General features: G+C 38.6%; 1 protein-coding gene across 42 annotated transcripts in view, besides 1 other annotated feature; it reads left to right on the top strand.

The window, feature by feature from the left end:
• C12orf42 (chromosome 12 open reading frame 42) overlaps window positions 1-27,073 on the top strand; it is a 516,167-nt gene that overhangs the window by 113,497 nt on the left and 375,597 nt on the right. For 9 of the 42 annotated variants that reach the window (NR_170336.1, NR_170337.1, NR_170334.1 and 6 more), the window contains exon 1: window positions 8,632-8,826. The exons of the other annotated variants lie outside the window; for them this stretch is intronic. The gene's annotated coding sequence lies outside the window, so the exon portion shown is untranslated. Of the gene's footprint in view, window positions 1-8,631; window positions 8,827-27,073 lie in introns of those variants that run through there. 42 annotated transcript variants of the gene reach the window in all.
• Window positions 15,029-15,729: an enhancer, noted in NCBI's record as "H3K27ac-H3K4me1 hESC enhancer chr12:103828343-103829043 (GRCh37/hg19 assembly coordinates)". NCBI's record gives its function as "activates a minimal SCP1, AML or CMV promoter by ChIP-STARR-seq in naive and primed H9 embryonic stem cells {active_cell/tissue: H9 hESC(naive and primed)}" and the evidence as "EXISTENCE:reporter gene assay evidence [ECO:0000049][PMID:30033119]".

Genomic DNA, 27,073 nt, shown 5'->3' with positions numbered 1-27,073 from the left:
AAGGAAAGTTATAGGCAATTTCACTGGTGGACATTGATGCAAAAATCCTAAACACAAATCTAGTAAACCAAATCTATCATGTTAAGTTTATCTTAGGGATGCAAGGGCAGATTAACATGAAGAAATCAATTCATTTACCACACTAATAGATTAAGGTAGAAATCTAAATCTAAGGTGAAAACCTAAACCTAATATATTTAATCTAAATACCTAATCAATATATACAATTAATTCCAGTTCATATAACAGCAAGAAACAGAAAATTCAATAATACAAGATATCATTTACAAAACCTAAAAAATTAAAAGATATAACTTTTATGCAAAAATTATAAAACCTTATATTAAGATACATTAAATAAAATTTAAAAAGTAGAAAAAATAAAATATATTTATATTTGAAGACTTACTATTATAAAGATGGTCATTCTTCCCATTAATTTTAGAGTTCGTGCATTTTCACTTGAGTGAATGCTTTTTTTTTTTTTTCAAATGGAACTAGAAAAAAATTCTAAAGTTTAGATGGGAGAACAAAAAGTCAGGAATGACCAGGATACTCCTGAAGAAAAATAAATTAGGGGAGGGAGAATTGCCTTATTAGATATCAAGAATTGTTATAAATAGGTAGCAATTAAAACACGATTATAGAGAAATAGCCCAATGGAATGGAAGAAAGAGCCATGAATATGGAAACTTGACATCTCACAGAGCTGGTATTACACACCAAAACATATTATTATCTTATTTTTTTCAAGTGCTTAATAAGTGATTGTTATCATGTCTATTTTTTAAATTTATTTTTTATTTCAATATGTTTTTGGGGAACAGGGGGTGTTTGGTTACATGAATAAGTTCTTTAGTGGTGATTTCTGAGATTTTGGTGCATCCATCACACAAGTGGTATACACTGTACTCTATGTGTAGTCTTTTATCCCTCACCCCTCTCCCAACCTTCCCCCCAAGTCCCCAAAGTCCATTGTATCATTCTTATGCCTTTGTGTCCTGATAGCTTAGCTCCCAATTATGATTGAGAACATACAATGTTTGGTTTTTCCATTCCTGAGTTACTTCACTTAGAATAATAGTCTCTGATTCCATCCAGGTTTCTGCAAATGCCATTATTTTTTTCCTTTTTATGGTTGCGTAGTATTCCATGGTGTCTGTCTATCTATCTATCTATCTATCTATCTATCTATCTATCTATCTATCTATCATATTTTCTTTATCCACTCATTGATTGATGGGCATTTGGGCTGCTTCTGTATTTTTGCAATTGCAAATTGTGCTGCTATAAACATGTGTGTGCAAGTATCTTTTTCATATAATGACTTATTTTCCTCTGGGTAGGCACCTAGTAGTGGGATTGCTGGATCAAATGGTAGATCTAGTTTTAGTTCTTTAAGGAATCTCCACACTGTGTTGTATACTGTGGTTGTACTATTAATAGTTTACATTCCCACCAACAGTGTAAAAGTGTTCTCTTTTTACCACATCCACACCAACATCTATTTTTTTTTTAATTTTTTCATTATGGCCATTCATGCAGGAGTGAGGTGGTATCGCATTGTGATTTTGATCTGCATTTCCCTGATAATTAGTGATGTTGAGCATTTTTCTATATGCTTGTTGGCCAATTGTATATCTTCTTTTGAGAACTGTCTGTTCATGTCGTTATCCCACATTTTGATGAGATCGTGTTTTCTTGCTGATTTATTTGAGTTCTTTGTAGATTCTGGATATTAGTCCTTTGTCACATGTATGGATTGTGAAGATTTTCTCTCACTCTGTGGGTTTTCTCTTAACTCTGCTGATTATTTCTTTTGCTCTGCAGAAGCTTTTTAGTTTAAGCCCCATGTATTTATCTTTGTTTTTGTTGCATTTGCTTTTGCGTTCTTGGTCATGAAGTCTTTGTCTAAGCCAATGTCTAGAAGGATTTTTCCAATGTTGTCTTCTAGAATCTTTATGGTTTCAGGTCTTAGATTTAAGTCTTTGACCCATCTTGAGTTGATTTTTGTATAAGGTAAGAGGTGGGGATCCAGTTTCATTCTTCTATATGTGGCTTGCCAATTATCCCAGCACCATTTGTTGAATAGGGTATCCTTTCCCGACTTCATGTTTTTGTTTGCTTTGTTGAAGGTCAGTTGGCTATAAGCATTTGGCTTTATCTCTGGGTTTTCTATTCTGTTCCATTGGTCTGTGTGCCTATTTTTATACCAGTCATGCTGTTTTGGTGACTGTGGCATTATAGTATAGTTTGACGTTGGGTAATGTGATGCCTCCAGATTTGTCCTTTTTGCTTAGTCTTGCTTTGTCTATGTGGGCTCTTTTTTGGTTCCACATGAATTATAATATTGTTTTTTTCTAGTTCTGTGAAGAATGATGGTAGTATTTTGATGGGAATTGCATTGAATTTGTGATTGCTTTTGGCAGTATGGTCGTTTTCACAATATTGATTCTACTCATCCATGAGCATGGGATGTGCTCCCATTTGTTGGTGTCATCTATGATTTTTTCAGCAGCGTTTTGTAGTTTTCCTTATACAGGTCTTTCACCTCCTTGATTAGGTATATTCCTAAGCATTTTATTATTTTTTTTGCAGCTGTTGTAAAAGGGGTTGAGTTCTTGATTTGATTCTCAGCTTGGTCACTGTTGGTGTATAGCAGAGCTACTCATTTGTGTACATGAATTTTGTATTCTGAAATTTTGCTGAATTCATTTGCCAGTTTTAAGAGCTTTTTGGATGGTTCTTTAGGATTTTCTAGGTGTATGATTATATCATCAGCAAACAGTGACAGTTTGACTTCCTTTTTACCAGTTTGGATGCCCTCGATTTCTTTTTGTTGTCTGATTTCTCTGGCTAGGACTTCTAGTACTATGTTGAATAGAAGTGGTGAGTGGACAATCCTTGTCTTGTTCCGATTCTCAGGGGAAATGCTTTCAATTTTTCCTCATTCAGTATAATGTTGGCTGTGGGTTTGTCATAGATGGCTTTTATTACCTTACCTTCCATCTTGATTTCATTGTTGACCCAGTGATCATTCAGGAGCAGGTTATTTAATTTCCATGCATTAGCATGATTTTGAGGATTCCTTTTGGAGTTGATTTCCAATTTTATTCCACTGTGGTCTGAGAGAGTACTCTATATAATTTTGATTTTCTTAAATTTACTGAGACTTTTTTGTGCCCTATCACATGGTCTATCTTGGAGAATGTTCCATGTGCTGATGACCAGAATGTATATTCTGCAGTTGTTGCATAGAATGTTCTGCAAATATCTGTTAAGTCCATTTGTTCTAGGGTATAGTTTAAGTCCATTGTTTCTTTGTTGACTTTCTGTCTTGATGACATGTCTAATGCTGTCAATGGAGTATTAAAGTCTCCCACTATTGTTGTGTTGCCATCTATCTCATTTCTTAGGCCTAGTAGTAATTGTTTTATAAATTTAGGAACTCCAATGTTACGTGCATATGTATTTAGGATTGTGATATTTTCCTGTTGGACTAGTCCTTTTATCATTGTATAATGTCCCTCTTTGTCTTTTTAAACTGTTGTTGCTTTAAAGTCTGTTTTTTTCTGATATAAGAATAACCACTTCTGCTCACTTTTGGTGTCCATTTGCATGGATATCTTTCTCCACCCCTTTACCTTAAGTTTATGTGAGTCCTTATGTTTTAGTTGAGTCTCCTGAAGACAGCAGAAACTTGGTTGATGAAATCTTATCACTTCTTCCATTCCATATCTTTTAAGTGGAGCATTTAGGCTATTTACATTCAATGTAAGTATTGAGATGTGAGGTACTATTCTATTCATTATGCTATTTGTTGCCTGAATACCTTTTTTAAAATTGTGTTATTGTTATATAGGTCCTGTGAGATTTATGCTTTAAGGAGGTTCTATTTTGGTGTATTTCAAGGATTTGTTTCGAGATTTAGAGTTCCTTTTAGTGGTTTGTAGTGCTGGTTTGTTATTGGTGAATTCTCTCAGCATTTGTTTGTCTGGAAGACTGTATCTTTTTTTCATTTATGAAGCTTAGTTTCACTGGATTCAAAATTCTTTGCTGATAATTGCTTTGTTTAAGGAGGCTAAAAATAGGACCCCAATCCCTTCTAGCTCGTAGGGTTTCTGCTGAGAAATATGCTGTTGCTCTGATAGGTTTTTCTTTATACCAAATCATATTAGAGAGCTGGCATAATATGTAAATTGCTTAGAACTGTGACTGGCATGTAGTAAACAGTGTATAAAGTTAGCTGCTATTGTTATTGTTATTAGTACTATTACCATTACCATAGATTGGTGATGAAACTATGGACTTATCTGTAAATGGTGCTATCCCATTGAAAAAAAGGAAGTTGACTTTCGCCTCTTGCCATATACAAAAACCAATTCAAGAGCAATAAGAGACTTAAATAAAAATGACAAATCTCTAACATTTATAAAAGACAATATAGAAGAACATCTTCATGACCTTAAATGAGGGAAGATTTTCAAAAACAAGACCCAAAGAGTACTAACTATAAAGAAAGGTCTTGATAAGTATAGTACTTAAAGAATTGATTCCATTCGTTTAAGCATCATAAGGAAAACAAAATAATGGGAAAGCTCCAAATGGGAGAGAGTATTTGCAATACATATAATCCAGAAAGAATATCTAGGGCACATAAATAACTCTTTATAAAAAAAGCAAACCACAACAGGAAAATGAGAAAGGACTTGCACAAGCATTTTACAGAATAACCTATGCTGATGGCCAGTCAGCAAGTGAAGATACTTGTTCTCATTAGTAAATCAAGGAAATGCAAATTAAATTCAAAATGAGATAGCAGCAGGCACACCAAAAACCCCCCAAAAACCCAAAAAAGAGTAAATGGAATGTTGGTGAGGACATGGAACAATTAGAACCAGTACAAATTTGTACAACTAGTTGGAGAAACAATTTGATATTATATGGTATTGAGTTGAAAAAACTGTTTTTCCTCTGCTCTCACACCACAACAATCAACACAGACAAAACGTGGGATTTTTCCCCACCAACAAACAAGCAATCAGTTCTGCAGTGGACACCAGCTGGGTTTCCTCCAATTCAATTCTGACATCATCTACCTGGAGACAGTGTCAGATCCCACAGGTTGAGGGAGAAGAGAATGATAAGGAACAAACTCACATAGCGTCTACCCCTGAGAGACGGTATGGGGGATGAGTACAGATTGGCAAGCAGTACACAGGAAGTATCAACATGATTCGTAACAGTTTTTTTATACTTTGGATTGTGGGTTCATGTATGTTTATGTTTATGGTTTATTACTTATGGATATCTACGTATGTTCTTTTTTATAATCAAGTATTTTATATTTAAAATATCAAAAATATATTTAAGAAGTAGAAGAAATATATCAAAGCTTGTATAGCAATATTAATTTAAGGTAAAATAGATTTCAATGCAAAAGACATTTAAAGAAAAGAAGAAAGGGGAAATATGATATTGATAAAAGGATTAATTACTAAAGAAGGTATGACAGTCAACATAACTTTGATGTATACATCAAAAACTTATAAAGAAGAAGAGAACTTGCTTATTTGTGCAAGTATATGTACAATCTTATATGGAGAAACTAATTCAAATTCTAGTTAAGTTTTCAAGACACATCTTTCAGAAACAAATGAATCAATTAGACAAACATGAGTATGGCCACAGAAGATAGAACTAACACAATTTGCAGGTACATACTTACACATGTGACTGTGTGCAAATACAAATACAAATGGAGAATAACATTATTTAAAAATATGCTTGAAAAGTTTTACCAAGTTAACTCATACTAGACAGAAAGGATATTTTAATGCATTTCAAAAAGTCGGTATTATATAAGCCACATTGATGACAGAATTATACAATAAATGATGTTTAAAATGCTTCTAATTTTACTTTAAATTTTTATTTAGAAGTTACAAACTAAGAACTAAAAAATAACAGAAGAAAGCCCTTTGTATTAGAACCTGTGAAACCCATGAATCCCACGTGGGGCTCAGGGAAAAATGTAGACCTTTACATGTATTTTATTTAGAAACAACAAATAGTATAAAAATGAACTAAGCTTTCAACTTAAGAAGCTAGCAAATTAATAACAAAGTTGGCATTAATAATTATAATTAGTAAAGATAACATAAATTATTAAAATGGGTAACAAACAGCAAAGTTGATCCATAAAACCAAAAATTAATTTTTGTAAAAAACAATAAAATAAAACTTTGGCATATATAACCAAAGAAAAGGAGACAAATGGCACAGGTAAAGAATTTTTATTTGACATTGATGATAAATACAGGTTTTAGAAACATTAAAATGTTAAAAAAATGTGCAACATGAAATCTGGAAATAGCTAATTAAAATTTCAGTTTTACGTTTCGAGGACTTAGTGTCACCCATCCAATTTGATATCATCTATAAAGTGCTTAGTCTCTTTCTCTTTCTATGCCTTGAAGAAAATAAGCTTATGTCTGATCTCAACTCAACATGACTTCTTGCACAGCCTTTTTCTACCCTTTATGGTATGTGCCAACCCTGCTCAGCTGGCTAAACTCAGTGGAGAAAAACACTGCCAAGCAGAGGTTTCAAATGAATGACTTCAACATTTAATTACAGATATGTTTTGTTTGACCTGCAGAGAATTTTTAATTTTTTGAATTATTGCTAATTGAAAAAATGAAGAGATTTCACCTAAAAATTTATATTTTTGGCATGGCAAAAATCAGAATTGCTGAGGGTTAGATGAGGCTTGTGCTCTTCCATTCACAATAGTCTCCAATGGGGAGTTTGGAGTGAGAGTCCTGGGATTTAATCTCATCTCTGCCACCCACTAGCAGATTGTCTCAGAAAAGTTACCTAAACTCTAGAGTGCACTAATTTTCCTTATTTGCAACATGGAGGAAACATCAGGCTTAGAAGGTCACTGGATATTGACCAAGATAATGAACATAAAAATATCTGGCAGAGTTCTGGGCCACTGGTTGAGGGCTCATTCTGTATCAGTTTCCTCTTCTGCCTTTGTTGTTCTTCTCTACAACATAAAATTTCTGGCACTTGTTAGTCGTAGAAAAGCAATAAAATTATCTTGACAAAATATTCAGCAATAATTAACATTCTCTGTGTAGGTGTTTGAAAAGATGAAACTTGTGCTGTTTGATTTCAGTTTATTCTAATATATAGAAGTTACTAGCCATGCACCTCCTTACTAGCCTGAAACTCAAGACTTCAGTTCCTTTTTTTCCCGTCTTCCATGTGGTAACTTTCTCCATTTGACTGTAAGCTGCTTAGAGCACCTGCCGTGTTTACTACTTAGTTCTCAGAATGTAGGGCAAAACCTAGTGTCTAATAGGCATTAAATAAAATAAATATTTGTTGAATGAATGATTGAGAATGTATAATTTCCAAGGTTATTTCCCTTTTAAACAGTTTGAAAAATTAATTTTTTTTACTCTTTAATACATATATTCTTTCATTCATTTACTCTTTTCTTTTTAAAAAGATCTATGTATGATACATGGAAAGCATGTAGTGCAGTGTCTGACACATAGAAAGCGCTTAATGTATTATTTGTTAATTTAAGAGTTTTATTATCTACATTGTTCTGATCATAAAGCCCTGAGATTTGGTGATTTGTTGAAAAATGATAATGCAGTGTATATCAGGATGGGAATAAAAGAGGCTATGCCAGGATGTACAGGGAACTGGCAGAATGGAGTGCTGATTTAGATTGCAGCAGGAAGGTGCAATGATAGAATAGGCTAAGGCCCCATTTGTGAGGTTGGAATGTCAATGATAGGGCTTTGCAAGGGAAGCCTCCTTGTCTTCAGCCTGCGAAGATCTTAGGTACCCAAACCAGCAACCTGTTGTTGACTTGCACATCTGTGCTGTCCAGTGCATGCAAACGTCATTGTTCACAGAACTGTCATCCCCGTAAGATTGTGAGATCAAAAAGTAGATGTGAGATCATCAATCGTATCGCTCCTTGCTTTTGTGAAGAAATAACAGCCATGCATGAACATTAGTTATGGTTAGTTGCTGACATTATCTCATTATAAATATCTAGAGAAATGTATGTATGTCAGATTTCATAATGTGGAATTTCAGACTTTATTTACTTATTTATTTTTGAGATGGAGCCTTTCTCTGCCACTCAGGCTGGAGTGCAGTGGTGTGATCATAGCTCACTGTAACTTTAAACTCCTGGGCTCAAGTGATCCTCCCACTTCAGCCTCCTGAGTAGCTGGGACTACAGGTGCACACCACCAAGCCTAGCTAATTTTTAAATTTTTTTGTAGAGATGAGGTCTCACTATGTTGACCAGGCTGGTCTTGAATGCCTGGCCTCAATCTGTACTTCAGCCTTGACTTCCCAAAATGTTGGGATTACAGAGATGAGCCACCATGCTGGGGCTAGATTTTTGATTTCTAAGAGAAAATAATTTGTCTTTAATGATTGAGTTTTCTTTAAACTGGATTCACACTTCCCCTTTTCTCAAGAGAAGTTTCTGTCATTTGAGAACACATTTCCTGTTTTCACATTTGCTCATCTGAATATGATGCCAGACCTGAGAGAGAAAGGATGTTGTTCTGCACATCTTGAAGACAGCTTGCTTTCTATTGTCCCCAGTCCTCAGCTCACCACTGCTGCTTTTGAGGACTCTCCCTTTGTGGGCTTCAGTCATTCAAACCTGACTCCATTAGGTGCTGCTCATTGCCTTGGAGGCTGCTGCTCCTGTGTGTCAGATCCACAGAGATATCCGAGTTCAGAAATGAGTGGAAAAATACCCATGGTGGGCAGGAAGAGGTGAGAAATTTTTGGTTATGTGAGGAAGGCATTTCTTAAAATAGGCCAGTTTGAAATTGTTACTTAGTTTTCCTTTTAATGATCAGTTTCAGTTTGAAGGTTTTATATCGACAGGAAAAAAATATTTCAACCATTTTTGCAAAATTTGGCCAAAAGGCTTGAACTTGTATTAGTATTACCAGTGGCATTAAATCATGAGATTATTTGGTAAAATGTAAATTTCCTCCCCCTTCTCTGTCCAGTAGTCTAGGAAATAAACTTTCTAATATGCTTGGGTTGGGGAAGGGTGCCTCAAACCTCATGGGCTGTTTGGAAAATATAATACTTAGGAGTCCAACTAGGGAGGAAACAATATTTGCTTTTTGACAGAGTAAAGTTGGTGCTTATCAATTAAAAATGATGCTGGCCATAGGTAGTTAACTGTTTGCTAGGTAAATGAAAAGTAGTTTATTTTTTAAAAATAATTATGGCATGTGTTAATATTCCCAAATTCAAACATAGCAGAAATATAGTAAGATTTCACCCATTATTAGCTTGAAGCAATTCTTGTGTACTCTGTGGTTATATGCAAACTTAATAGATGCTAAGTGTAAAAGAAAGGTTCCATGGTCAGAGGTTGAGAAATGATTGGTGAAGGAATTTAAACACTTTTTTTTTCACTGTAGAACTTGGCCTAAGCTACTGTACATTGTAATTCTCCAAGAGGGGAGCCACGGTGTGGTGTTGTACCTCATTTGAAATGGAGTTAGGCCAATCTGGGTTTTAATTCTGTGCCACTCTTGACAAATCACATAACATCTTTGAGTTCTGGTTTATCTGCAAAATGGGTCTAAAAGCACATATCTCATGGATTTGTAGTGCACATAAAACACTCAACAAGACTATTTGCATAATAACAAATGTTAATTTAAAATTTATGCGTCTATTTTGCTTTCTTGAAGTTAGGGGTCTATGGTGAAGTACCCACTTGCACCAGAGTAGGAGTTTCTTTTTTTTTTTTTTTTTTTTTTGGTATCTGTGAGGCTTTTATTTATTTATTTTATTTTATTTTATTTTTTTATTATACTTTAAGTTTTAGCGTACATGTGCACATTGTGCAGGTTAGTTACATATGTATACATGTGCCATGCTGGTGTGCTGCACCCACTAACTCGTCATCTAGCATTAGGTATATCTCCCAATGCTATCCCTCCCCCCTCCCCCGACCCCACCACAGTCCCCAGCGTGTGATATTCCTCTTCCTGTGTCCATGTGATCTCATTGTTCAGTTCCCACCTATGAGTGAGAATATGCAGTGTTTGGTTTTTTGTTCTTGCGATAGTTTACTGAGAATGATGATTTCCAATTTCATCCATGTCCCTACAAAGGACATGAACTCATCATTTTTTATGGCTGCATAGTATTCCATGGTGTATATGTGCCACATTTTCTTAATCCAGTCTATCATTATTGGACATTTGGGTTGGTTCCAAGTCTTTGCTATTGTGAATAATGCCACAATAAACATACGTGTGCATGTGTCTTTATAGCAGCATGATTTATAGTCCTTTGGGTATATACCCAGTAATGGGATGGCTGGGTCAAATGGTATTTCTAGTTTTAGATCCCTGAGGAATCGCCACACTGACTTCCACAATGGTTGAACTAGTTTACAGTCCCACCAACAGTGTAAAAGTGTTCCTATTTCTCCACATCCTCTCCAGCATCTGTTGTTTCCTGACTTTTTAATGATTGCCACTCTAACTGGTGTGAGATGGTATCTCATTCTGGTTTTGATTTGCATTTCTCTGATGGCCAGTGATGATGAGCATTTTTTCATGTGTTTTTTGGCTGCATAAATGTCTTCTTTTGAGAAGTGTCTGTTCATGTCCTTCGCCCACTTTTTGATGGGGTTGTTTGTTTTTTTCTTGTAAATTTGTTGGAGTTCATTGTAGATTCTGGATATTAGCTCTTTGTCAGATGAGTAGGTTGCGAAAATTTTCTCCCATTTTGTAGGGTGCCTGTTCACTCTGATGGTAGTTTCTTTTGCTGTGCAGAAGCTCTTTAGTTTAATTAGATCCCATTTGTCAATTTTGTCTTTTGTTGCCATTGCTTTTGGTGTTTCGGACATGAAGTCCTTGCCCATGCCTATGTCCTGAATGGTAATGCCTAGGTTTTCTTCTAGGGTTTTATGGTTTTATGTCTAACGTTTAAGTCTTTAATCCATCTTGAATTGATTTTTGTATAAGGTGTAAGGAAGGGATCCAGTTTCAGCTTTCTACATATGGCTAGCCAGTTTTCCCAGCACCATTTATTAAATAGGGAATCCTTTCCCCATTTCTTGTTTTTCTCAGGTTTGTCAAAGATCAGATAGTTGTAGATATGCTGCATTATTTCTGAGGGCTCTGTTCTGTTCCATTGATCTATATCTCTGTTTTGGTACCAGTACCATGCTGTTTTGGTTACTGTAGCCTTGTAGTATAGTTTGAAGTCAGGTAGTGTGATGCCTCCAGCTTTGTTCTTTTGCCTTATGATTGCCTTGGCGATGCGGGCTCTTTTTTGGTTCCATATGAACTTTAAAGTAGTTTTTTCCAATTCTGTGAAGAAAGTCATTGGTAGCTTGATGGGGATGGCATTGAATCTGTAAATTACCTTGGGTGGTATGGCCATTTTCACGATATTGATTCTTCCTACCCATGAGCATGGAATGTTCTTCCATTTGTTTGTATCCTCTTTGATTTCCTTGAGCAGTGGTTTGTAGTTCTCCTTGAAGAGGTCCTTCACATCCCTTGTAAGTTGGATTCCTAGGTATTTTATTCTCTTTGAAGCAACTGTGAATGGGAGTTCACTCATGATTTGGCTCTCTGTTTGTCTGTTGTTGGTGTATAAGAATGCTTGTGATTTTTGTACATTGATTTTGTATCCTGAGACTTTGCTGAAGTTGCTTATCAGCTTAAGGAGATTTTGGGCTGAGACAATGAGGTTTTCCAGATACACAATCATGTCATCTGCAAACAGGGACAATTTGACTTCCTCTTTTCCTAATTGAATACCCTTTATTTCTTTCTCCTGCCTGATTGCCCTGGCCAGAACTTCCAACACTGTGTTGAATAGGAGTGGTGAGAGAGGGCATCCCTGTTTTGTGCCAGTTTTCAAAGGGAATGCTTCCAGTTTTTGCCCATTCAGTATGATATTGGCTGTGGGTTTGTCATAAATAGCTCTTATTATTTTGAGATATGTCCTATCAATATCTAATTTATTGAGAGTTTTTAGCATGAAGGGTTGTTGAATTTTGTCACAGGCCTTTTCTGCATCTATTGAGATAATCATGTGGTTTTTGTCTTTGGTTCTGTTTATATGCTGGATTACATTTATTGATTTGCAGATGTTGAACCAGCCTTGCATCCCAGGGATGAAGCCCGCTTGATCTTGGTGGATAAGCTTTTTGATGTGCTGCTGGATTCGGTTTGCCAGTATTTTATTGAGGATTTTTGCATCGATGCTCATCAGGGATATTGGTCTAAAATTCTCTTTTTTTGTTGTGTCTCTGCCAGGCTTTGGTATCAGGATGATGCTGGCCTCATAAAATGAATTAGGGAGGATTCCCTCTTTTTCTATTGATTGGAATAGTTTCAGAAGGAATGGTACCAGCTCCTCTTTGTACCTCTGGTAGAATTTGGCTGTGAATCCATCTGGTCTGGACTTTTTTTTTGGTTGGTAGGCTATTAATTATTGTCTCAATTTCAGATCCTGTTATTGGTCTATTCAGAGATTCAACTTCTTCCTGGTTTAGTTTTGGGAGAGTGTATGTGTCGAGGAATTTATGCATTTCTTCTAGATTTTCTAGTTTATTTGCATAGAGGTGTTTGTAGTATTCTCTGATGGTAGTTTGTATTTCTGTGGGATCGGTGGTGATATCCCCTTTATCATTTTTTATTGTGTCTATTTGATTCTTCTCTCTTTTTTTCTTTATTAGCCTTGCTAGCGGTCTATCAATTTTATTGATCCTTTCAAAAAACCAGCTCCTGGATTCATTAATTTTTTGAAGGGTTTTTTGTGTCTCTATTTCCTTCAGTTCTGCTCTGATTTTAGTTATTTCTTGCCTTCTGCTAGCTTTTGAATGTGTTTGCGCTTGCTTTTTTAGTTCTTTTAATTGTGATGTTAGGGTGTCAATTTTGGATCTTTCCTGCTTTCTCTTGTGGCATTTAGTGCTATAAATTTCCCTCTACACACTGCTTTGAATGCATCCCAGAGATTCTGGTATGTTGTGTCTTTGTTCTCGCTGGTTTCAAAGAACATCTTTATTTCTGCCTTCATTTCATTATGTATCCAGTAGTCATTCAGGAGCAGGTTGTTCAGTTTCCATGTAGTTGAGCGGTTTTGAGCGAGATTCTTAATCCTGAGTTCTAGTTTGATTGCACTGTGGTCTGAGAGATAGTTTGTTATAATCTCTGTTCTTTTACATTTGCTGAGGAGAGCTTTACTTCCAAGTATGTGGTCAATTTTGGAATAGGTGTGGTGTGGTGCTGAAAAAAATGTATATTCTGTTGATTTGGGGTGGAGAGTTCTGTAGATGTCTATTAGGTCTGCTTGGTGCAGAGCTGAGTTCAATTCCTGGGTATCCTTGTTGACTTTCTGTCTCATTGATCTGTCTAATGTTGACAGTGGGGTGTTAAAGTCTCCCATTATTAATGTGTGGGAGTCTAAGTCTCTTTGTAGGTCACTTTGTAGGACTTGCTTTATGAATCTGGGTGCTCCTGTATTGGGTGCATATATATTTAGGATAGTTAGCTCTTCTTGTTAAATTGATCCCTTTACCATTATGTAATGGCCTTCTTTGTCTCTTTTGATCTTTGTTGGTTTAAAGTCTGTTTTATCAGAGACTAGGATTGCAACCCCTGCCTTTTTTTGTTTTCCATTTGCTTGGTAGATCTTCCTCCATCCTTTTATTTTGAGCCTATGTGTGTCTCTGCACGTGAGATGGGTTTCCTGAATACAGCACATTGATGGGTCTTGACTCTTTATCCAATTTGCCAGTCTGTGTCTTTTAATTGGAGCATTTAGTCCATTTACATTTAAAGTTAATATTTTTATGTGTGAATTTGATCCTGTCATTATGATGTTAGCTAGTGATTTTGCTTGTTAGTTGATGTAGTTTCTTCCTAGTCTCGATGGTCTTTACATTTTGGCATGATTTTGCAGCGCCTGGTACCGGTTGTTCCTTTCCATGTTTAGCGCTTCCTTCAGGAGCTCTTTTAGGGCAGGCCTGGTGGTGACAAAATCTCTCAGCATTTGCTTGTCTGTAAAGTATTTTATTTCTCCTTCACTTATGAAGCTTAGTTTGGCTGGATATGAAATTCTGGGTTGAAAATTCTTTTCTTTAAGAATGTTGAATAATTGCCACCACTCTCTTCTGGCTTGTAGGGTTTCTGCCGAGAGATCCGCTGTTAGTCTGATGGGCTTCCCTTTGAGGATATCCCGACCTTTCTCTCTGGCTGCCCTTAACATTTTTTCCTTCATTTCAACTTTGGTGAATCTGACAATTATGTGTCTTGGAGTTGCTCTTCTCGAGGAGTATCTTTGTGGCGTTCTCTGTATTTCCTGAATCTGAACGTTGGCCTGCCTTGCTAGATTGGGGAAGTTCTCCTGGATAATATCCTTCAGAGTGTTTTCCAACTTGGTTCCATTCTCCCCATCACTTTCGGGTACACCAATCAGACGTAGATTTGGTCTTTTCACATAGTCCCATATTTCTTGGAGGCTTTGCTCATTTCTTTTTATTCTTTTTTCTCTAAACTTCCCTTCTCGCTTCATTTCATTCATTTCATCTTCCATTGCTGATACCCTTTCTTCCAGTTGATCGCATCGGCTCCTGAGGCTTTTGCATTCTTCATGTAGTTCTCGAGCCTTGGTTTTCAGCTCCATCACCTCCTTTAAGCACTTCTCTGTATTGGTTATTCTAGTTATACATTATTCTAAATTTTTTTCAAAGTTTTCAACTTCTTTGCCTTTGGTTTGGATGTCCTCCCATAGCTCAGAGTAATTTGATCGTCTGAAGCCTTCTTCTCTCAGCTCATCAAAGTCATTCTCCATCCAGCTTTGTTCCGTTGCTGGTGAGGAACTGCGTTCCTTTGGAGGAGGAGAGGCACTCTGCGTTTTAGAATTTCCGGTTTTTCTGTTCTGTTTTTTCCCCATCTTTGTGGTTTTATCTACTTTTGGTCTTTGATGATGGTGATGTACAGATGGGTTTTTGGTGTGGATGTCCTTTCTGTTTGTTAGTTTTCCTTCTAACAGACAGGACCCTCAGCTGCAGGTCTGTTGGAATACCCTGCTGTGTGAGGTGTCAGTGTGCCTCTGCTGGGGGGTGCCTCCCAGTTAGGCTGCTCGGGGGTCAGGGGTCAGGGACCCACTTGAGGAGGCAGTCTGCCTGTTCTCAGATCTCCAGCTGCGTGCTGGGAGAACCACTGCTCTCTTCAAAGCTGTCAGACAGGGACATTTAAGTCTGCAGAGGTTACTGCTGTCTTTTTGTTTGTCTGTGCCCTGCCCCCCGAGGTGGAGCCTGCAGAGGCAGGCAGGCCTCCTTGAGCTGTGGTGGGCTCCACCCAGTTCGAGCTTCCCGGCTGCTTTGTTTACCTAAGCAAGCCTGGGCAACGGCAGTCGCCCCTCCCCCAGCCTCGCTGCCGCCTTGCAGTTTGATCTCAGACTGCTGTGCTAGCAATCAGCAAGAGTCCGTGGGCGTAGGACCCTCCAAGCCAGGTGCGGCATATAATCTCGTGGTGCGGTGTTTTTTAAGCCGGTCCGAAAAGCGCAATATTCGGGTGGGAGTGACCCGATTTTCCAGGTGCGTCAGTCACCCCTTTCTTTGACTCGGAAAGGGAACTCCCTGACCCCTTGTGCTTCCCAGGTGAGGCAATGCCTCGCCCTGCTTCGGCTCGTGCATGGTACGCGCACCCACTGACCTGCACCCACTGTCTGGCACTCCCTAGTGAGATGAACCCGGTACCTCAAATGGAAATGCAGAAATCACCCGTCCTCTGCGTCCCTCACGCTGGGAGCTGTAGACCGGAGCTGTTCCTATTCGGCCATCTTGGCTCCTCCCCTTCACTGTGAGGCTTTTAAAATAATCTGTGAGTTTATATAATTTGGGTAGAACAGAGTGCAGCTCCGTCATCAAGGGCAGGCATGTGACCCAGGGCTAGCCACTCAGATTATCCCTGGGTTTGGTTTAGAGATGGCTCATGATCTAGTCAGGGACAATGCAACTCAGTTCTAAGAGGTTAGAGGAGCTGTTGGGGAAAGAAGCTCTGTAGCTGGTGTAGCCATCTTGGCTCTAAGAGTCAGAGTAGGAGTTTCAAGAAGCTGGTCTTGCCATTTCCTGACTGAATGACCTTGGCAAGCCTCTTAACCAAGAGAATTGGGTGACCAATGTCTTCATTTTAAAAAAATAAAACAAAACCTGCCATGTTTGGTAGAGCATTCAGGAGAACCAAGTTAGTTTTAAAACTCTTATAGAAATTCTCGAACATCATGCCATTTTATTCACAAATTCTTCAGGATGCATTATTAGCTGGTAAGGCTATTTATATCCATATCTAAATTTACATCTCTGTTTCCATATATTGGCCATGCTATTATTATGCCAAGCAAAATTAAGTCATTCATCAATACAATTTAGTTCATATTTCTGTTTCCAAGATTGTCTCAAACATTTCATTTTTGCACTTGGTAAAATTGAGTCACAATCTGAACAAGTTGCACATTCTGCATATATTGTTATGTGTCTTAAGTTCACATTTGTTTTATAACAATGGGTTCCTTCAACCCATACCACTCTTTTGTTAGAGAAAATAGGTCATTTCTTTGTAAATGTCCCTCCCACTTCCTGGATTTTGCTGTGTCTTTAACTTGTTCTTCTATTCCCTGTCATTTTACAAATGGGTAGTTAGATCTACAGATTCAATTAGATACTGGTACAATTGTTAGGAAATTGTACTTTAGAGATGTTGCTATATCCTTCTTGTTGCATCATATTATGAGGCACATAATATCTACCTCTTCCCCTTTTATATGTCCTGAGGTTGAACAATGAGTTCAGATGGTGTCACCATGATGCTTTCCTTGTGAATTCCTCATTCATAATTCATTAATAATTGTGCTAGCTCCATTTTTGCATTTTATCATTCCTTCTGCAATTTATTAGCTACAGTATTTGTATAAAGAAAAACGTTTTTTCATCAACTATTTGGTTACAGTAAAACACAGGAAAGGAAGGAGAAAGAATTTCTTGTGGTTTTATTATGTAATGAATATTTATTCAGGGCCAGGAATTGTGCTAGGTGCTCGGACACAACCGCAAATGTATCTATATCCTACTGTTGGGAAGCTATGGCCTGGATAATACAGAGGAGTAAGTTAACAATTACTGTATAGTGTGAAATGTAAAGCAAGTTTATATTTCACTGGGAGTCCTGTGCTTCGGGTTGCTTTTTCTTTATGGTTTTAATCTATTTTGTATAGTGTATTAGTTTTCTTGTGCTGCCATAAAAAATACCACAGACTGGATGGCTTAAACAACAGACATTTATTTTCTCATAGTTTTGGAGGCTGGGAGTCCGAGATCAAGGTGCTGGCAGGTTTGATTCCTTCTGAGGCCTCTGTCTTGCTGATGGCCACCTTCTTGCTGTGCCCTCACATGGTCATCCCTCTGTGTGTGTATCTGTGTCCTAACTTCTTCATACGAGGATGCCAGGCATATTGGATTAGGACCCACCTGTACCAACTTATCTAACCTTAATTACCTCTTTAAAGACCCTTGTCTCTAAGTAGTCACAACCTAAAGTACTGGTGAGGACTTCAAAGTGTGAATTTGGGAGAGAGGCACAATTCAGCCCATAACATACAGTAAGAGCATTACATACTATCTCTCTCATTAGACAGCAAGCCTCTTTAGAGAGCAGAAACCTCCTATTGTATGTCATGAATTCTTCAGCACATCAAGTAAGGTTCTAGAAAGTGTTTATTAATGTTACAGTAGGTAGCTAGTCAGATATGCGCAGGGCAGGAGAGGGTCCTCCCACTGCCAACCAGGAGGGTCAGGCAAGCATCAGTTGATGGTCAGGTGGTTGTTGAACTGCCTCTCTAAAATAATAATTAGTTGCAGCCAGTGCCAGGGAAAGGCAGTCTTCCAATAGTTAGAAACACCTAAGGCTGATGATAAGCATCTTGTGGCTAAGATCTCAGGAGCTGGGTAAGTGGGGTTAAGCATGCTTACTAAGAGGCAAAATGGCTGAGCTTAACTGGTGTATGACCTTATAGGAACACTTGACTGGTAAGGGAAGAATGCCTCAAGTGAGCATGTGTACAACTCCAGTAAACACACTACACATGTGGACAGCCCACACCAAGGGAAGAATAAGGGGAGAAGTAATGCAACCCCAGAAGCATGCCAACGTATAATACCCCAAGTTGAAAGTCAAACTGTGCACTTGATCTCTCAGGTTGCCTGCTTGACCTTCTTCGAAGTGTACTGTACTCCTTTCATTCCTGCGCTAAAGTTTTCAAAATAAACTCACTCCTGCTCTAAAGCCTGCCTCTTTCTCTCCTGCCTTATGCCCCTCAGTTAAATTCTTTCTCCTGAGGAGGCAAGAATTGAGGTTGCTGCAGACCTGTACAGATTCACTGCCACTAGCATACTTTGGTGCTGTGTGACTTGGATATGTTCTGCTGCTAACATTAAGAGGTTTCTAGAAAGTCAAATCATAATAGAAAATACTCATTAAAAGCTTGTGTGAATGACAGAATAATGATACAGTGATTATTTCTTAAGCACTTATTGTGGGCCAGGGTATGTAATGTATATGTGTATATTGTCTCATTTCATCTTCAAAATGACCCTCATAGTTGACTTTCATTATTACTATCAGTACCATTTCCCCTTTTAACTATGAGGAACTCAAGAGGCCAAAGAGGTTAACTTGCCTGTGTTGCCATAACAAGTAAGTGCAGGATGCAGGATTTGAACCCAGAGTCATGGTCTGACTGCAATATTTTACCATCCGTGACATATAGGAAAGTGTTTTATAAAGTGTAAATTTTTATAAAAGGTTAGCTATTCATGTGGCTTTGCGGAAATAATATAGACTCTAGAGTCAAAATGGCCTCTATTTAATTTTCAACTCCATCACTTTTAGGTGTGATTATGGTCTCCTAATGTCTCTGAGACACAGTTTCCCAATCTAGAAAATGGAAATAATGGTATCTCCCTGGATGAATGCTGGTGAGCATTTGGAAGATTATCTGTGGAGACTCCAGCACAATGTCTGAGAGATTACATTCTTGATAAATGTCAACTAGTATTATATTCTCCTCATAGTACCTTGGTATTTTTTTTATTATACTTTGTGTGCAGAACATGCAGGTTTGTTACATAGGTATACACGTGCCATGGTGGTTTGCTGCACCCATCAACTCGTCATCTACATTAGGTATTTCTCCTAATGCTATCCCTTCCCTATCTCCCTACCCCTCAACAGGCCCCAGTTTGTGATATTCCCCTCCCTGTGTCCATGTGTTCTCATTTTTCAACTCTCACTTATGAGTGAGAACATGCAGTGTTTGGTTTTCTGTTCCTGTGTTAGTTTGCTGAGAATAATGGTTTCCAGCTTCATCCATGTCCCTGCAAAGGAAACAATCTCATTCCTTTTTGTGGCTGCATAGTATTCCATGGTGTATATGTACCACATTTTCTTTATCCAGTCTATCATTGATGGGTATTTGGGTTGGTTCCAAGTCTTTGCTATTGTGAATAGTGCTGCAATAAACATATGTGTGCATGTGTCTTTATAGTAGAACGATTTATGATCCTTTGGGTATATACCCAGTAATGGGTTTGCTGAGTCAAATGATGTTTCTGGTTCTAGATCCTTGAGGAATCACCACACTGTCTTCCACAATGGTTGAACTAATTTACACTCCCACCAACAGTGTAAAAGTGTTCCTTTTTCTCTACATTCTCTCCAGTGTCTGTTGTTCCCTGACTTTTTAATGATCGCCATTCTAACTGGTGTGAGATGGTATCTCATTGTGGTTTTGATTTGCATGTCTCTAATGACCAATGATGATGAGCTTTTCTTCATAAGATTGTTGGCCGCATAGATGTCTTCTTTTGATAAGTGTCTGTTCATATCCTTTGCCCACTTTTTGATGGAGTTGTTTGTGTTTTTCTTGTCAATTTGTTTAAATTCCTTGTAGATTCTGGATATTAGCCCTTTGCCAGATGGATAGATTTCAAAAATTTTCTCCCATTCTGTAAGTTGCCTGTTCACTCTGATGATAGTTTCTTTTGCTGTGCAGAAGCTCTTTAGTTTAATTAGATCCCATTGGCTTTTGTTGCCATTGCTTTCAGTGTTTTAGTCATGAGGTCTTTGCCCATGCCTATGTCCTGAATGGTATTGCCTAAGTTATTTTTCTAGAGTTTTCATGGTTTTTAGGTCTTATGTTTAAGTGTTTAATCCATCCTGAGTTAATTTTTGTATAACGTGTAAGGAAGAGGTTCAGTTTCAGTTTTCTGCATATGGCTAGCTGGTTTTCCCAACACCATTTATTAAATAGGGAATCCTTTCCCTATTGCTTGTTTGTGTCAGGTTTGTCAAAGATCAGATGGTTGTAGATATGTGGCATTATTTCTGAGGCCTCTGTTCTGTTCTATTGGTCTATGTATCTGTTTTTGTACCAGTACTATGCTGTTTTGGTTACTGTAGCCTTGTAGTATAGTTTGCAGTCAGGTAGTGTGATGCCTCCAGCTTTGTTCTTTTTGCTTAGGATTGTCTTAGCTATATGGACTCTTTTTTGGTTCCATATAAAATTTAAAGTAGTTTTTTCTAATTCTGTGAAGAAAGTCAATGGTAGCTTGATGGGGATAGCATTAAATCTATAAATTACTTTGGGCAATATGGCCATTTTCATGATATTGATGCTTCCTATCCATGAGCATGGACTGTTTTTCCATTTGTTTGTGTCTTCTCTTATTTCCTTGAGCAATGGTTTGTAGTTCTCCTTGAAGAGGTCCTTCACATCCCTTGGAAGTTATATTCCTAGGTATTTTATTCTCTTTGTAGCAAATGTGAATGGGAGTTCACTCATGATTTGGCTCTCTGTTTGTCTGTTGTTGGTGTATAGGAATGCTTGTGATTTTTGCACATTGATTTTGTATCCTGAGACTTTGCTGAAGTTGCTTATCAGCTTAAGGAAATTTTGGGCTGAGACAATGGGGTTTTCTAAACATACAATCATGTCATCTGCAAACAGAGACAATTTGACTTCCTCTCTTCCTATTTAAATATGCTTTATTTTTTTCTCTTGCCTGATTGCCTTGGCCAGAACTTCCAATGCTGTGTTGAATTGGAATGGTGAGAGAAGGCATCCTTATCTTGTGCCAGTTTTCAGAGGGAATGCTTCTAGCTTTTGCTCATTCAATATGATATTGGCTGTGGGTTTGTCATAAATAGCTCTTATTATTTTGAGATAGGTTCCATCAATACCTAGTTTATTGACAGTTTTTAGCATGAAGGGGTGTTGAATTTTATTAAAGGCCTTGTCTGCATCTATTGAAATCATCATGTGGTTTTTGTCATTGGTTTTGTTTATGTGATGGATTACGTTTATTGATTTGTGTATGTTGAACCAGCCTTGCATCCCAGGGATGAAGCTGACTTGATCACGGTGGATAAGCTTTTTGATGTGCTGCTGGATTCAGTTTGCCAGTATTTTATTAAGGATTTTTGCATCAATGTTCATCAGGGATATTGGCCTGAAATTTTCTTTTTTTGTTGTGTCTCTGCCAGGTTTTGGTATCAGGATGACATTGGACTCATACAATGAGTTAGGGAGGAGTCCTCTTTTTCTGTTGTTTGGAATAGTTTCAGAAGGAATGGTACCAGCTCCTCCTTGTACCTCTTGTAGAATAAGGCTGTGAATCCTTCTGGTCCTGGACTTTTCTTTTTGTTGTTAGGCTATTAATTACTGCCTCAATTTCAGAACTTGTTATTGGTCTATTCAGGGATTCGACTTCTTCCTGGTTTAGTTTGGGAGGGTGTATGTGTCCAGAAATTTATCCATTTCTTCTAGATTTTCTAGTTTCTTTGCATAGAGTTGTTTATAGTATTCTCTGATGTAGTTTGTATTTCTGTGGAATCAGTGGTGATATCCCCTTTATCATCTTTTACTGTGTCTGTTTGGTTCTTCTCTTTTTTCTTCTTTATTAGTCTGGCTAGTGGTCTATCCATCTTGCTAGTCTTTTCAAAAAACCAGCTCCTGGATTCTTGGATTTTTTGAAGGGTTTTTCATGTCTCTGTCTCCTTCAGTTCTGCTCTGATCTTAGTTATTCTTCTTCTAGCTTTTGAATTTGTTTGCTCTTGCTTCTCTAGTTCTTTTAATTGTGATGTTAGGGCATCAATTTTAGATCTTTCCTGCTTTCTCCTGTGTACATTTAGTGCTATAAATTTCCCTCTAAACACTGCTTTAGCTGTGTCCCAGAGATTCTGGTACGTTATGTCTTTGTTCTCACTGACTTCAAAGAACTTACTTACTTCTGCCTTAATTTCGTTATTTACCCAGTAATCATTCAGGAGCAGTTTGTTCAGTTTCCATGTAGTTGTGTGGTTTTGAGTGAGTTTCTTAATCCTGAGTTCTAATTTGATTGCACTGTGGTCTGAGAGACTGTTATGATTTCCGTTCTTTTGCATTTGCTGAAGAGTGTTTTACTTCCAATTATGTGGTCAATTTTAGAATAAGTGTGATGAGGTGCTGAGAAGAATGTATATTCTGTTGATTTGGGGTGGAGAGTTCTGTAGATGTCTGTTAAGTCCACTTGGTCCAGAGCTGAATTCAAGTCCTGAATATCCTTGTTAATTTTCTGTCTCATTGATCTGTTTAATATTGACAGTGGGGTGTTAAAGTCTCCCACTATTGTTGTATGGGAGTCAAATCTCCTTGTAGGTCTCTAAGAACTTGCTTTATGAATCTGGGTGCCTCTGTACTGGGTGCATATATATTTAAGATAGTTAGCTCTTCTTGATGCATTGATCCCGTTACCATGATATAATGACCTTCCTTGTTTTTTTTTTTTTAATCTTTTTTGGCTTAATGTCTGTTTTATCAGAGACTAGGATTGCAACCGCTGCTTTTTTTTTTTTTCTTTTTTTTTTGCTTTCCATTTGCTTGGTAAATATTCCTCCATCCCTTTATTTTGAGCCTATGTGTGTCTTTGCATGTGAGATGGGTTTCTGAATACAGCACACTGATGGGTCTTGACTCTTTATCCAGTTTGCCAGTCTGTGTCTTTTAATTGGGGCATTTAGCCCATTTACATTTAAGGTTAATATTTTTATGTGTGAATTTGATCCTGTCATTATGATGCTAGCTGGTTATTTTGCCTGTTAGTTGATACAGTTTCTTCAGAGTGTTGATGGTCTTTACAGTTTGGTATGTTTTTGCAGTGGCTGGTACTGGTTTTTTCTTTCCATATTTAGTGCTTCCTTTAGGAGCTCTTGTAAGGCAGGCCTGGTGGTAACAAAATCTCTCAGCATTTGCTTGTCTGTAAAGGATTTCATTTCTCCTTCACTTATGAAGCTTAGTTTGGCTGGATATGAAATTCTGGGTTGAAAATTCTTTTCTTTAAGAATGTTGAATAATTGCCACCACTCTCTTCTGGCTTGTAGGGTTTCTGCCGAGAGATCCGCTGTTAGTCTGATGGACTTCCCTTTGTTGGTAACTTGACTTTTCTGGCTTCCCTTAACATTTTTTCCTTCATTTCAACCTTGGTGAATCCGACAATTATGTGTCTTGGGGTTGCTCTTCTTGAGGAGTATCTTTGTGGTGTTCTCTGTATTTCCTGAATTTGAATGTTGGCCTGTCTTGCTAGGTTGGGGAAGTTCTTCTGGATAATATCCTGAAGAGTGTCTTCCAATTTGGTTCCATTCTCCCCCATCACTTTCAGGTACACCAGTCAAACGTAGGTTTGGTCTTTTCACATAGTCCAATATTTCTTGGAGGCTTTGTTTGTTCTTTTTCATTCTTTTTTCTCTAATCTTGTTTTCACACTTTATTTCATTAAGTCTATCTTCTACCTCTGAGATTGTTTCTTCCACTTGATCAATTCAGCTTTGATACTTGTGTATGCTTCAAGAAGTTCTCGTGCTGTGTTTTTCAGCTCTGACAGGTCATTTATGTTTTTCTTTAAACTGGTTTTTCTAGTTAGCAATTCCTTTAACCTTTTTTCAAGGTTCTTAGCTTCCTTTCATTGGGTTAGAACATGCTCCTTTAGCTCGGAGGAGTTTGTTATTACCCACCTTCTGAAGCCTACTTCTGTCAATTCATCAAGCTCATTCTCCGTCCAGTTTTGTTCCCTTGCTGACAAGGAGTTGTGATCCTTTGGAGAAGAGGCGTTCTGGTTTTTGGAATTTTCAGCCTTTTGGGGCTGGTTTTTCCTCATCTTTGTGGATTTATCTAGCTTTGGTCTTTGATGCTGGTGACCTTTGGATGGGGTTTTTGTGTGGACGTCCTTTTTTGAGTTGGTGGATTTCCCCTCACAGTGTAAACAAAGCCACTGGGAAGTAGGAACTGGACGGAGTCCACCACAGCTCGGCAAAGCCACTGTAGCCAGACTGCCTCTCTAGATTCCTCACCTCAGGGTAGGGAATCTCTGAAAGAAAGGCAGAAGCTCCAGTCAGGGGCTTATAGATAAAAATCCCATCTCCCTGGGACAGAGCACCTAGGGGAAGGGGCGGCTGTGGGCGTAGCTCACAGCCTTTGGATGGGGTTTTGGTGTGGACATCCTTTTTTGTTGATGTTGATGCTATTCCTTTCTGTTTGTTATTTTTCCTTCTAACAGTCAGGCCCCTCTGCTGCAGGTCTGCTGGAGTTTGCTGGAGGTCCACTCCAGACCCTGTTTGCCTGAGTATCACCAGCAGAGGCTGCAGAACAGCAAAGATTGCTGCCTGTTCCTTCCTCTGGAAGCTTGTCTCAGAGGGGCACCCGCCAGATGCCAGCTGGAGCTCTCCTGTATGAGGTGTCTGTCGACCTCTGCTGGGAGGTATCTCACAGTCAGGAGGCACGGGGGGCAGGCACCCACTTGAGGAGGCAGTCTGTCCCTTAGCAGAGCTCAAGCACTGTGCTGGGAGATCCGCTGCTCTCTTTAGAGCTGGCAGGCAGGAATGTTTAAGTCAGCTGGAGCTACGCCCACAGCCACCCCTTCCCCTAGGTGCTCTGTCCCAGGGAGATGGGATTTTTATCTATAAGCCCCTGACTGGAGCTTCTGCCTTTCTTTCAGAGATTCCCTACCCAGAGGTGAGGAATCTAGAGAGGCAGTCTGGCTACAGTGGCTTTGCCGAGCTGTGGTGGACTCCGTCCAGTTCCTACTTCCCAGTGGCTTTGTTTACACTGTGAGGGGAAATCCACCTACTCAAGCCTCAGTAATGACGGACACCCCTCTCCCACTAAGCTCGAGTTTCCCAGGTCAACTTCAGACTGCTGTGCTGGCAGTGAGAATTTCAAACCAGTGGATCTTAGCTTGCTGCTTTCCATGGGGGTGGGATCTGCTGAGCTAGACCACTTGGCTCCCTGGCTTTAGCCCCCTTTCCAGGGCAATGAATGGTTCTGTCTCGCTGGTGTTCCAGGCACCACTGGGGAATGAAAAACAAAACAAAACAAAACAAAAACTCCTGCAGCCAGCTCGGTGTTTGCCCAAACGGCTGCCCAGTTTGTGCTTGAAACCCAGGGCCCTGGTAGTGTAGGTACCCGAGGGAATCTCCTGGTCTGCAGGTTGCAAAGACCATGGGAAAAGCATAGTATCCGGAATGCACTGTTCCTCATGGCACAGTCCCTCACAACTTCCTTTGGCTAGGGGAGGGAGTTCCCTGACCCCTTGCACTTCCCGGGTGAGGTGTTGCCCTGCCCTGCTTCCACTCGCCCTCTGTGGGCTGCACCCACTGTCTAACCAGTCCCAGTGAGATGAGCCAAGTACCTCAGTTGGAAATGCAGAAATCACCCGCCTTCTGTGTTGATCTTGCTGGGAGTTGCAGACCGGAGCTGTTCCTATTCAGCCATCTTGCCAGCCACTCGGTATGTTTTTATACCCAGTAATTTTCTTATTAGCTGATAGGAGATCATCACAAATGAATGAAGACAAAAGGAAGTAGCAACATATTTTCCTTATTATAGTTGACCCCAGAGATACAGATTCAGTTCGTAGATTCATTAGCTCATTTCCACAGCATTTATTTTTTGTGCCCATGGCATGTGACAAATGGGAAGAGGCACCATGTGCAGGGGGATCTTAATCACTTTGGAGCTTGCGCTCAAAGGCTTCACTTCTGCATGATGATTGGTGTAGATGCATTTCTAGTAAGTTAAGTTGCAATGTCCTCCATTCATTCATTTGCCAAAATGGCCCAAATGTCATCCAATACACAAAATTATAACAAAAATATAAACAGAATAAATAGCATCATGCATTTACTTTGAAATCCATCTTCAGGTAATAGAGTTGAATAAATTTTTATATTAAACAATAAAAAACTTATGGCTTATTTATAAATTTCAGTAGAACTACTCTGGAGTCTAATTCTCAACTTGTTATCTTTACAGGGGATGCCGAGAGCTTTGGCTTCATTTGGAATGTTAAATTGCCATAATTCTTTTTTTGAAACTCATTAAATTTTAACTAGAGGCATGCACTTTCTGCTCAACTTGGGGGAAAAAAGTATTTTAAATATCTGTCAAGTCTGTCGTCATTCCTCATAGAAATGTGACTAATTTTAGGCCTGAAAATGTTGATCTGCTCCAAGGAATGCTGCAAATGTTACCCAGTGAACATGCAATGGAAGCACATGTACAAACAGTAGAGCACAAAATCTCAGAAGTTTCCTGGTGTATTAATACTGGGAGACTTGATTTGAAAATTTCCCATTCAACTCTACTAAAGAGTAGGGGATGGGGTGGGGAGAGAAAACCCACTTATCTTAAAGATTCATGATTCAAGCCCCTGATAGAATCTGCAGTTTCCATAGTGCTGGGCCCTAGATTTCCCTTTAATGTAATTAAGCCTCAAGATTTATGAATACAACAGGCCAGAACTTGATCCGTGTTCATTTTCAATTACTGCAGTGAAAGGGCTCTATCCAGATGTCTCTATTTACAGCATTCAGGCAGGCCAGACCAGGGGCCAAGGGGGGGAGGGCCCACAAATTGTCACACTTGTTAATTCTTCACA

This window comes from Homo sapiens, chromosome 12, assembly GCF_000001405.40.
Source record: "Homo sapiens chromosome 12, GRCh38.p14 Primary Assembly".
Taxonomy (NCBI): Eukaryota; Metazoa; Chordata; class Mammalia; order Primates; family Hominidae; genus Homo; species Homo sapiens.
Note: the sequence above shows the minus strand (reverse complement) of the source record. Positions and strands in the feature narration are given on the sequence as shown.